General features: G+C 44.5%; 1 long non-coding RNA gene across 1 annotated transcript in view, besides 1 other annotated feature; it reads left to right on the forward strand.

Moving 5' to 3' along the window:
- Positions 1-1,720: 1,720 nt before the first annotated feature.
- Positions 1,721-13,086, forward strand: part of LINC01507 (long intergenic non-protein coding RNA 1507) — a 210,026-nt gene continuing 198,660 nt past the window's right edge. The window contains exon 1 of the long non-coding RNA NR_121213.1: positions 1,721-1,817. This is a non-coding gene — a long non-coding RNA (long intergenic non-protein coding RNA 1507). The remainder of the gene's footprint in view (positions 1,818-13,086) is intronic.
- Positions 11,807-12,437: an enhancer, noted in NCBI's record as "OCT4-NANOG hESC enhancer chr9:82449531-82450161 (GRCh37/hg19 assembly coordinates)". NCBI's record gives its function as "activates a minimal SCP1, AML or CMV promoter by ChIP-STARR-seq in naive H9 embryonic stem cells {active_cell/tissue: H9 hESC(naive)}" and the evidence as "EXISTENCE:reporter gene assay evidence [ECO:0000049][PMID:30033119]".

Consider the following 13,086-nt stretch of genomic DNA (forward strand, 5'->3'; position numbering starts at 1 on the left):
GAGAGGAGAAGTTTCAGGAGTCGGGTTTACGTAAGAGAGAGGAGATGGAATCTAGGATGCATGTGAAGTGTTGGCTTTAGGGAGAAGCTTAGACAGTTCAGCTATAGCAGCAGGAGGGAAGGACAAACATATGGACACTGTTTCCAGTAAGGAAGGAGATTTGGGGTCAGGAGCTTGGGAAGCTCTTTTCTGATGTGTGTGTGTGTGTGTGTGTGTGCGTGTGCGTGAGTGCAAGTTAAGTCATCAATGGAGAGTAAGGATGGAAAATATGTGTTGGAGGTTTGAGAAGAAAGAAAAAGTCAAGAAATAATCATCTAGGGCAGTGGTTATCAATGTGTGGTCCAGATTAGCAGGGTCAGCATCATCTGGGAACTTGTTTGAAATGCAGTTTCTTTTTTTTTTTTTTTTTTTGAGATGGAGTCTCGCTCTATCACCCAGGCTGGAGTGCAGTGGCGCGATCTCGGCTCACTGCAAACTCCGCCTCCTGGGTTCATGCCGTTCTCCTACCTCAGCCTCCCGAGTAGCTGGGACTACAGGTGCCCACCACCGCGCTCGGCTAATTTTTTTGTATTTTTAGTAGAGACAGGGTTTCACCATGTTAGCCAGGATGGTCTTGATCTCCTGACCTCGTGATCCACCTGCCTCGACCTCAAAGTGCTGGGATTACAGGCATGAGCCACCGCTCCTGGCTTCGAAATGCAGTTTCTTAAGCCCACCTTAGATTGCCTGATTCAGAAACTTTAGGGGTCAGGACCCAGCAATCTGAGTTTCCACACATCCTCCAGGTGATTCTGTGGCAGTCTCAAGTTTGAAAATCACCAGTTTAGGGTAACAGGGGAGTGAATGGATTATGGAAATATGGAATGATTGATGGGCAGAGCTCGAGACCTTTTTGAAGGTAGGGGTCATCAACTTAAAATGAGATCAGTCAGCAAGCTGTGTGGCTTTCTCCAGCCGTAGCAAGCTGTGTGGCTTTCTCCAGCCGTGGCCATCTGTGTTGGTGTGCAGAGTAAACTGAGTTGATTTAACCTGGCCTTGGGCCTTGTTAATCTTCTTAACAAGATTGTTAAGAATGTATGCAAGAGTGTGAGATGATGGACCATCAGATCTAATCTAGGTGGGGGAGGAAATTGAGGGACCAAGAAAAGCTTAAGCAGTCAATGGCTAATAGCTCCTAGTGGGGTCAAGGTTTCTTGGAGTTGGGGCATTGGTGAGAGTGAGCTGGAAAGACAGAATGGTTGAAATTGTAGTTATGGATTGCTTTACTAGTAATGATAAGGATAGAGTATGGCATTTGGAGGGAGTGGTTGAGGCAGGGTGGAAAATGTGAGAGTTGGAAAAGAGGGCCTCGAAAAACCGAGTCTAGGACATTGGAAAGATCATATATATATATGGATATTGAAATTACCAAATATGTTGGAGAAGTGGTGGTGAGTTAGGTGCTAAAATCTTCAAGGAATTAGGGGAGTGACCTGTGGATCTGTAGGTAACAGGAATAAGCTAAAATGGTGCTTGGTAAGGACTAATCACATGGTAATAAAAGATCAGAACTTTGTGTTGTTGTTTGTTCTTGTGGCGGGAAAAAGGATGTTCCAGTGGCAGTATGAAAGCAGAACACCTGCCCCTACCTCCAGATCTGGCATTACGAGAACCTTGCAAGATACCACAGCTACCACTTTCAGACTGCTGGGTAAAAGCAAGTGGTTTCCTGAGAGTCTGTCCATTTACAGCGAGAAGTGAAAAAAAGTTCTGAGAAGAAGTGAGGAGGAGCTAACAATTGAGCATGACTTCCAGAAGACAGTGTGGACTGGTTTCAGGTATTTGGGATGAGTGGCAGAGTGGATGAGAAAAGGGAGACTATAGAGATAATTGAGAATAAGGGTCCAGGAAGATCAGAGTTGATTGGGAGCTGCAGGCTCCTTGTGAAGTTTGATGTACATGAGAGAATGGCAAAACAAGATTTGCCTTGATGTTCTCAATGTAAGCACTGAGGAGAAGGCTTGGAGTGTTCCAGGACAGTGAGTGGTGGAGTCTTGCTGGGAGTGTTCTGAGCCTTTCTCTTTATTCCTGACAGTGGTGATGTGGGGCCCAGGATGGCAGTCTTATCCTGAATGCTTGGAAATCAGGGAGAGGTGTGGAGACCAGGGGAGTTTAATCTTTTTCAGTTGAATGTGTGGATGGCTCTTCAATCGAGTAGATTTGAAAGTGTGTAATGGAAAACGGTGTTGGAAATGAGTTGAGGAGTAGATGAGTCAAGGCTACTCTAATTTCAATGCCCCAAACCATGCCCAGCTCAAAAGTCACAGGGTGGTAATAACAGTTCCACTTTTCTATTCTTGTTAACATTAAGCCTCAGAAATAAATAAAAATGGGGGCCTGTCTTCAGCATATCAAAAGCAGCTAAATTTGTGTCCATTTATCCTTTCATTGTTGTGAGATCAAGCAGTTGCACTTCAAGTGCATTCACTGATATAATTTCCAGCAGGAGAGACCACTTCATTCCACATTGGTGCCCCACTCATGCTCCCAGCATGTACCATACAAAGAGACATCTGGTTTGCAGAGATGCTCTTAGGAACCAGCATGGTTTGGTGGCTTGAGCACAGGTCCTGGGTGTGAGGAGTGTGCCGAAGATGCAATAAGGCATACTTTTCTGGGGATGCACACCCGGACTGCAGAGAGGGGGCTACCAAAAAGCAGTTGGCTTGGATGCAAAATACTTTCAGAACAGGTAGCCCCAGTGGAAGCCTCTTCAACCCTGGCAAGAATTCCAAGTTTTGAGAGTGGTGCACACTCAATTTTCACACTGTATGTGAGCCATTGCTTTGTGTGGAAATGCTTGAATGCAAATAGAATTCTTGTAATGTGCCTTTAGTGGCGTAATATTGCATGCAGGGCAACAAGCCTTAATGCACTGCCTCCCTCACAGCTAGGCTTAATAAGTGGCAAGAGAATGGCCTGATGCAAAAATTAATACCTTTTAATGAGTCAAGATTGATTCTAGAATTTAAAGAAGTATTCCATGTTTTCAAATAAACAGGTAATAGAGAAAACTCTGGACAGCTATTGGCAATTTTGAATATCTGCAGAGAGCTAGAGGGATGACAGAAAGAGATTTGCTTCTTTAAGGCCTGTTTTAAAAATGAAACAATACCTTATAGTTCCAATTATATGACTTTCTGGGAAAGACGAAACTATGAAGACGGTAGAAGGATCCGTGGTTGCCAGAGGGTTTGGGGTTGGGGGTTAGGGTTGCATAGGTGATGCACAGAGAACTTTAAAGTAGTGAAAATACTCTGCAGGATACTGTAATTACACAAATGTATAATGAATATGTGTCATTATACATTTGCTCAAGCCCATGAAATGTATAAAAGCAAGAGCGAACCCTGTTGTATACTATGAACTTTGGGTGATGTGATGTGTCACTGTAGATTCATCAGTTACAACACATGTACTACTCTGGTGGAGGATGCTCATAATGGGGGAGGTTGTATTCACGTTATGGGGGCAAGGGATATATTGGATATCTCTGTAACTTCCTCTCAATTTTGCTGTGAACCTAGAATTGCTCTAAAAAAGTCGTAAAAAAACATAAAACCCTTTGAATCCTTAAGATCTCTTTCTCACTTGCTTCCTCTTCTCTTACTGTAACTATTAACCACTGTGAACAGTTTCATTAACAGGAACACCTTTGGCAACCAGTCCCTGGTGATGAACATTTAGGCAGATTTTATTTTGCAGCTACTACAGCAAAACTGTGGTGGACTTCCTTGTGCAGATGTATTTTTGTGCACTAAGGCAAATCTATCTTGCCTTATGAGTGGGGCACCAATGTGGAATGAAGTGGTCTCTCCTGCTAGAAATTATACCAGTGAATGCACTTGAGGTGCAACTGCTTGATCTCACAGCAATGAAAGGATAACCGCCTAAAAGTATAATTTCTGGTTTAAAGAATGTATGCATATATTTTTAGTTTGATAAATAAGGCATTTTATTTTAGGTTCACAGTGTTCCAGCAAAGCAATAAGTAAACGATGAATTAAAAAATGTAAAACTAGGTAAAGGAAAAGATAAGTGGCAGGGAAAAAATACAATGGGTTAATGAGCAAATGAAAAGATACACAATCTTACTCATCACTAAAGAAATGAAAATTAAAACAAGATATCATTTTACTCATAAAATTGATAAATATTTATGAGTTTGATCCCACATGGCATTGGTGAGAGGGTGGGAACCCAGCATACGCGTGCCTTCCTGATGGCGGTGTGAACCATCTCACTTGTTTTGGAAGGCACTTCAGCAAGAATTTTGCCAGTGTTTTAACTTTCTAATGCCCTGCAACTTGGCCTCGAGCTACACTCTGCTAACTTGATCAGAGGAAGATCTTCTTTGGGCACCAATGATAGTTTATTTTTCAGTTTGGAAAGCTGTCTGACTTACCTCATTATGAATCAATGTATCAGTTTAACTCTGAAGGCAAAGGCAATTTTATTTCATTCATTTAATAGATGTTTGTTAGGCAGCTGCTGTGTGCCTCTGGGAACACAGTAGCGATCAGTGGGCATGGCAGGCAAGGCCTTTGCTCTCAAAGAATTTTTATTTTGATGGAGGAAGGCAGGCAACAAGCAAACACACAGATATATGATCAATAGCAGGAGAGAGCAAGTACTGTGGTGGAATCAAAACAGGCGAAGTGATGGCAAGTGGCTGGGGGATATTGAGATCAGTGGCCAGAGGGTCACTCCAGAGATATGACATTCAAGCTAAATGCTAGATGACAAGAGAGAGCTGGCCATGCCAAGACCTGGAGAGGTCTTGCAAGCAGAGGGCACAGCATGGCCGAAGGTCCTGGGGGCAGGAAGCCAGCGTTAGGGATTGAATAGTGTTCTCCCAAAATTCATATGTTCAAGCCCTGATCTTCAATGTGACTGTATTTGGAGACAGGGCCTTTAAAATGGTAATTAAAGCTTTCTGAGGTCATAAAGGTGGGGCCCTAATCCGAAAGAATTGGTGTCCCTATAGGAAGAGACCCAGGGATGTGTGTGCACAGAGGAAAGACACTGTGAGGAGACAGTGAGGAGATTATGTGAGGAGACTAAACTTGCAGCCACCTTGACTTGGACGTCCAGGCTCCAGAACTGTGAGAAAATAAGTGCCTATTGTTTGAACCACACAGTCTGTGGTATTTTGTTAATCAGCCTGAACTGATCAAGGCAACCAGTATGGCTAAAGCCTCATGACCACTTGGTAACAGAGGACTAGAATGAGCAGGGCTTTGAGGACTGGCATAAAGATGCTGGATGTGGTTTTCAGTGTGATGGGACACTACGGGGGGCAGGGGTTAAGTTTAGAATTCTCACTCTACTTGCTGTGAGGAGAATGGAATGAAATGGGCAAATAGGAAGCAGGAAGGACAATGAGGAGGACTTATCTTATAGAAGTCCAAAAGAGGTTGGGCGTGGTGGCTCATGCCTGTAATCCCAGCACTTTGGGAAGCCGAGGCGGACGGATCATCTGAGGTCAGGAGTTCGAGACCAGCCTCGGCAACATGGTGAAATCCCTTCTCTACTAAAAATACAAAAAAATTACCGAGGCCTGGTGGTGCATGCCTGTGATCCCAGCTACTCGAGAGGCTGAGGTAGGAGAATTGCTTGAACCCAGGAGGCAGAGGTTGCAGTGAGCCAAGAAGGCGCCATTGCACTCCAGACTGGGAGACAGAGTGAGACTCCATCTCAAAAAAAAAAAAAAAAGTCCAAAAGAGAAGACAGACGATGGTGGTAGCTAGGGTGGCAAGAAAGAGACAGAGAGGGCTGGGTGAATCTGGAATATAATGTAGTGTATGAGAGGTAAGCCTTGGGGACCTCTACCCAGTGGTGCACCCAGGAAGGGCAGTGGGTGTGGTCTGTCCTCGTGCCTGCAATAGGGGGTGCATTGTCTGGAGAGAATTTAAAGACAGTGGTAGTAATGACAGTCCTCTGCTTCATATTATCATCATGCTCTGACACTTCTAGACAATGTTTGGGATAGAACATTCCTCAACATGAACATGGACATCTCCTGTCATCTCCCAGTACCCACCATCTCACTCCCTTGGCCCAGACGCTGGGGCGGGAGCGTGAGCCCAGTAACTGCACCACTAGTGCTGTGAGGCAAACTGAGGGCCTCAAATTCTCACCTATTAGGCTAGCGACTTCCTCTCCATCCCTGAAGGGTGAGTGGATAAAGATGTGAGTGGAGAAAAACCAGAATCTCTCCTGCCAACACTTCCCTGCACAGTGAGACAGCATGAGCACAGACAGGTCGAGAGATGGCCAGGTGTTCCCAAATTCTCCTCAGCTTTCTGTTCTCTCTCAAACTTTTGGACTGATGGTCAAGCATATGATCAGCCAAGGACATAGCTGTCCCCAGAGAGAAGGGGTCAGCAGCACCAGGGCCACTCTGCTCCTTCTCCTGGGCCACTGCCCAATACCCGACAAGACTCTGAGGATCGTGTCCTGGCCCTAGAGACCCATGCAGTTCAGTTTTCACTCCAGTAGAATAGAGAAGGGTTACAAAAAGATGTTAACTTATTTCAAAGGCCAAGCTGAATTTTAGGCTGAGTTCATGCCTCGGCCAATACCCAGGCACACTAACCAAAATAGCTTATCCAAGATTAGGGACTGGATCAAAATAATGCACTATTGGTTCCCCAATATCAAGACTAGATAACTTGTCTCTTTACTAAAGTCCTAGAAGAAATTAGAGCTCAAAAGTGACATAAAAATGGAACTCCCCTTTCCCTTGTCAACCAAAGAAGCATAATTCTAAAATACCTTCCTCCTCCATCTCCCATTCTGCTCAGAGTCAGTCTTGCCTGGCTGTTGCAGGCTGCTCTGATTTCTAGGGAAGTGCTGCAGCTGCTATATCCTCCTAAGAGTAGATTCAGCCAACCCCAGAGCTCTAATGTGTCCCAGGTTCCCAAAGGGTCAAAAAGTCACCCTGACTCATGAGATGATTGATCAGAGCATCAGACCCATACAAACACCATTTATACATAATCTCCACAGCAAAAGCATTTCACAAATAGAAGCGATGTTCCCCTCTTACTTTAGCCAGCAATGGATCAAAGCAGAGAGTTGGTGGTGTTATGTGGAGGAAGTAGCACAGAGGAAAAAAAAAGTACGAAGGGAAAAATCATCTTGTCTTTGGATTTGCCTGTGTGCCAGTTACTCTATGCCAGCTGTCTGGAGTATACAACATGTTCACTTAAACTCAATTGGAAAAATTTTCCATCATGAGGTTCAACATACTGCCATATGCTCCTACCCGAGCCTTACATAAGGCCAAAGCTTCCTTCGCCTGCGCCGCTGCTGAGAACTTTCTCTTTCCGAATCCTGAGAAGTGAAGACCTCTGCCTGCCATGTGCTTCTTTTCTCAAACTTGCAGTAACTGTGGATTTCTTTAGCTCATTCTGGCTGACATAACCCCCAAAACATGTGATTCAGTGGTCCCTGAGAAATAAGAACCCCAAAAGCTTTTCCTTTTTCCAATTTTTTTCTTAATTCCCCCAGGCTTTGAATAAATTTAGCTGCCCAAGTGGCAGCACAAAATCCCTTTAACCACCCATGTCCTGATACATTAAATCCATAGCAATGGACTAAGGGGAAAAACTAAGCAAGTAACCTTGCCTCTCACATGCTCAACTCTCCAAACATCTCATCCATTTGAATTCTCCAACATTTGGATGTTTCTAGGCCCTTGAGATGAGTCTTCTTTAACTCTATTAAAGGCCTTTTTCTTTCTCCTTCCTTCCTTCCGTCCTTCCCTCCCTCCCTCCTTCCCTCTTTCCTTCCTTCCTTCCTTCCTTTTCTTCAGAGTTTCATTCTTGTTCCCCAGGCTGGAGTGCAATGGCGCGATCTCAGCTCACCGCAACCTCCTCCTCCCGGGTTAAAATGATTCTCCTGCCTCAGTCTCCCGAGTAGCTGGGATTACAGGCATGCACCACCACACCCAGCTAATTTTGTATTTTTTTAATATAGATGGGGTTTCTCCATGTTTGTCAGGCTAATCTTGAACTCCTGACCTCAGCTGATCCACCTGCCTCAGCCTCCCAAAGAGCTGGGATTACACGCATTAGCCACTGCGCCTGGCCTAAGGCCTTATTCTTTCTAGGGCTGTAGTCTGTGAAAGGCTCTGTGAGATCCTGAATTCCTGGAGAAATTAGATGGTCCAAGAAAACTTAACTGATGCCAGATGAGAAGTCTTTATCACTGCTCCAGACCAGATCCCTGCTTATTCATTTTGAGATTCCAAATAAACAGTGAGTTCCTTTTAGTTATAATTCCACCTGTGGCCAACTGCATTAGGATCCCTGGCACAGGTGCAGATGATTCTCAATTGCTGGGGCCTATGATTGCTAAGTCCAGATTCCTTGGCCTTGTCATTCTAGAGCTGCCATAATGATCTACACTGTAAGCAGCAGAAGAATTGGAACAGAGAGAGGAGTGTGGCCTGCATCTCACTCACCACAACCAATGGAACTAGAAAAAAGCTCATGCTTCTCTTGAGCATGTGGGAGTGAAAAAGGAAGCTGATCATTTAGTTTCTGCTTTGGAGGCATGGAGATCCTGCCTTCTACTAAAAGTGGTCAAATGAATGTCTTGTCCTTTGTCCCAAATAGCTCCATAAACAAGGACTAAAAGCTTGCCTGTAAAAGACAGTTTGTGGGTCCCATGCAGATATGTAGATATGTGTCAGTATTAGCCTGTTTGTATTGCTATAAAGGAATACCTGAGGCTGAATAATTTATAAAGAAAAGAGGTTGATTTGGCTCTTAGTTCTGCAGATTGCACAGAAAGCATGGGACCAACATCTGTCCCTGGTGAGGGCTTCAGGAAGCTTTTACTCATGGTGGAAGGCAAAGGGGAGCTGGTGTGTGCAGAGATTATATGGCAAGAGAGGAAACAAGAGAGGGGAGAGAGGTGCCAGGCTCTTTCTAACAACCAGCTCTCACAAGTACTAATAGAGCTACCACTCACTCATTACCTGAGAACTGCACCAAGCCATCCATGAGGGATCTGCACCCACAAACCAAACACCTCCTATCAGGCCCCACCTCCAATATTGGAGATCAAATTTCAACATGAGACTTGGTGGGGCCAAACAAATCATACCCAAACCACAGGATTTTGCCCCTGGTCTTCCAAATCTCATGTTTTTCTCACATGCAAAATACAATCATCCATTCTAATAGTCCTTAAAAGTCTTAACTTGTTCTATCATCAACTCAAAAGTCCAAAGTGTAAAGTTTCATCTGAAACTCAAGGAAAGTCTCTTAAGCTGTGAGCCTGTAAAATAAAAAACAAGTAATTTACTTCCAAGATATAATGGTGATACAGACATTGGGTAAACATTTCCATTTCAAGAAGGAGAAATCAGCCAAAAGAAAAGGGCAATAGGCCCTGCCCAAGTCTGAAACTCAGCAGGGCAGACATTAAATCTTTTTCTTTTTTTGTTTTTTCTTTTATTCTGAGGCAGGGTCTTATTCTGTGACCAAGGCTAGAGTGCAGTGGTATGATCACGGCTCACTGCAGTCTCAACCTCCAAGCTCGAGCAACCCTCCCACCTCACCCTCCTGAGTATCTGGGATCACAGGCATGCATCACCACACCTGGCAAATTAAACAACAACAAGAACAACAACAAAAAGTCATTTGTACAAATGGGGTCTCACTATGTTGCCCAGGCTGGTTTTGAACTCCTGGTCTCAAGCAGTTATCCAATCACAGTTTCCCAAAGTGTTGGGATTACAGGCATGAGCCATTGTGCCCAGCCAAGAAATTAATTCTTGAAGCTCCAAAATAATCTCCTTTGACTCCATGTCCCATATCCTGGGCACACTGGTGTCAGCGGTGGGCTCCCAAGGTGTTGGGCATCCACAGCCCCATGGCTTTGCTGGGTGCAGCCCATGTGGCTGCTCTCATGGGTTGTAGTCTGGTGCCTGCAGCTTCTAGGTTGAGGGTGCATGCTGCTAGTGGTTCTATCATTCCGGGGTCTGGAGCATGGCAGCCCTCTTCACAGCTCCACTAGGCAGGGCTCTGGAGGGCATTCTCTGTGGGAGCTCCAACTCTATATTTCTCCTTGGCATTGCCTTAGTAGAGGTTCTCTGCATGGGCTCCTGCATCAGGCTTCTACCTGGGCACCCAGAGTTTTCTATATATCCTCTGAAATCTAGGTAGAAGCTGCCAAGCCTCCATCACTCTTGAATTCTGGGAGCCTGCAGATTTAACACCATATGGAAGCTTCCAAGGCTTATGGCTTATGCCTTCTGGAGCAGCAGCCTGTACAGTACCTGGGGTCCTTTTGAGCTGTGGCTGGAGCTGGAGTGGCAGGGAGATAGGGAGCAGCATCCTGAAGTGGCACAGGGCAGTGACACCCTGGACCAGTTCCCCAAAACTGTTCTGCCCTCCTAGACCTCTGGGATTATAATGGAAAGGGTAGCCTCAAAGATTTCTGAAGTGCCTTCAGAGCCTTTTCCTTATTGTCTTGACTGTTAGCACCTGGCTCCCTTTTTTTTTTTTTTTTTTTTTTTTTGAGACGTAGTCTTGCTCTGTTGCCCAGGCTCTGGAGTGCAGTGGCACGATCTTGGCTCACTGCAAGCTCTGCCACTCGGGTTCACGCCATTCTCCTGCCTCAGCCTCCCAAGTAGTTGGGACTACAGCTTTTCACTTTCCCTTGTCTTTCTTTTCTTTCACCACACCTGGCTAATTTTTTGTATTTTTAGTAGAGATGGGGTTTCACCGTGTTAGCCAGGATGGTCTCGATCTCCTGACTTCGTGATCCGCCTGCCTTGGCCTCCCAAAGTGCTGGGATTACAGGCGTCAGCCTCCATTTTATTCTTGCTAATCTCTCTAGCAAGTTGTTCCAAATGTTTACACTCTGTTTACTCTTTAATTATAAATTCCAACTTTAGGTCATTTCTTTGCTCCCATAACTGATCATAAGCTGCTAAAAGCAGCTATGACATTTCTTGAATGCTTTGCTGCTTAGACATTTCTTGTTCCAGAAAACTGAGAAAAGGAAAAGCTTTTAGGTTCATTATTTCTCAGGGACCACTGAGTCACAGGTTTGGGGAGGTTATGTCAGCCAGAAGGAGCTGAAGAAATCCACAGTCACTGCAAGTTTGGGAGCAGAAGCACATGGCAGGCAGAGGTCTTCACTTGTCAGGATTCAGAACAAGAAAGTTCTCAGCAGTGGCTCAGGCGAGGAAGCTTTGGCTTTATGTAAGGCTCAGGTAGGAGCATATGGCAGTATGTTGAACTTCATGAAGGAAAATTGTTCCAATTGAGTCTAAGTGAACATGTTGTACACTCTAGCCTTTGTGAAAGGCTGATATTAAGATTGATAAACTTGCCTTCCACAAAGCTCTTGGGCATGAACACAATGTGGCCAAGTTCTTTGCTACAATGTAACAAGAGTGGCCTTGGCTCCAGTTCCCAATAAGTTCCTCATTTCCATCTGAGACTTTGTCAGCCTGGCCTTCACTGTCCATATCTCTATCAACATTTTACTTACAAGCACTTAACCAATCTCTAAGAAATTTCACTTTCCCTTGTCTTTCTTTTCATAAGCCCTCCAAACTTTTCCAACCTCTGCCCATTATTCAGTTCTGAAGCTGCTCCACATTTTCAGGTATCTTTACAGCAACATTCCACTCCTTGCTACCAATCTTCTGTCTTAGCCCATTTGTGTTGTCACAAAGGAATACCTGAGGCTAGGGAACTTATAAAGAAAAAAGGTTTATTTAATTCACAGTTCTGCAGACTGTACAAGAAATATAGTGCCAGCATCTGCTTCTGGTGAGAGCTTTAGGCTTTAGGCTGCTTCCATTCATGGTGGAAGGTGAAGGAGACCTGGCATATGCAGATCACATGGTAAAAGAGGAAGTGAGAGAGGGGAGGGAGGGAGGTACCAAGCTCTTTTTAACCATCAGTTCTCATAAGAACTAATCAAGCAAGAACTCATTCATTTCCATGAGAATGGCACCAAGCTATTCATGAGGGATTCTACCCCCAAGACACAAACACCTCCCATTAGCCCCCATCTCCAACACTGAGGATCAAATTTCAACACGAGACTTGGCAGGGATCACACGAATCCTATCTAAACCACAGAAGCATCCCACTCAGGTGTACATGCTTGAGCAGAATGCCAGTCTTGTTTCCCGTTACAAGACAGAGTAACTCCACTCATTAGTAAAACAGCATGAGGCTTTGAATACCAGCCCTGGCTATTTAAATTGTTTACCATAGTCACTACTTCTTCCTTGGAAAAGAGTGAGCTTGGGGAACAGTTAGGGGGGAGAGAGAGAGAGAGACGGCAAGAGAGAAAGCAAGCCTAACTGTTTATTATAATGCTTCCTCCTGTGTGCAGAATGTCAGATTGAGAGGCATGAGTAGTATATCAGCCAGGGTTTCAACAGAGAAACAGAACCAGTAGAATGTATATTGCGTGTGTGTGTGTGTGTGTGTGTGTGTGTGTGTGTGTGTGTGTGTGTAGAGTGAGATTTATGTGATTGTGGGGACTGACTAGGCTAATCAAGAATCTGTAGGGTGGATCATCAGGAAGGGCAAACTGAAAATCTCAACCAGCGGCTGATGCAGTTCACAGGGGAAGTTTTTGCTTCCTCAGGGAAACTTCAGTTTTGCTCTTAAGGCCTTCAACTGCTTGGATGAAGCTCACCCAGATTATCCAGGATAATTTTCCTCCTGTAAAGCCAACTAATTATAGACATTAATCCAATCTACAAAATACTTCACAGCAACACCTAGATTAGTGTTTGAATAACTAGATTCTACAGTCTAGCCAAGTTGACACAGGAAATGGACCATCACAAATAGTAAGGAAAACAGCAAGCTTTCTCCACTAACTAGGTGACTGTGAGGGGGAGGGTGTTTCAGACAGTGGGAACAGCATGTGCATAGAAGCATTGAAGGAAACTCAGAGTGTTGTGGGTGGGATGGAAGGTGGCAAAAAAAAAAAAAAAAGAAAGAAAGAAAAAAAAAACTCAGAGTGAAGAAGGAAAAGATTTATAAAGGTGAGCTG

Source organism: Homo sapiens, chromosome 9 (genome assembly GCF_000001405.40).
Source record: "Homo sapiens chromosome 9, GRCh38.p14 Primary Assembly".
In the NCBI taxonomy this organism is placed as follows: domain Eukaryota; kingdom Metazoa; phylum Chordata; class Mammalia; order Primates; family Hominidae; genus Homo; species Homo sapiens.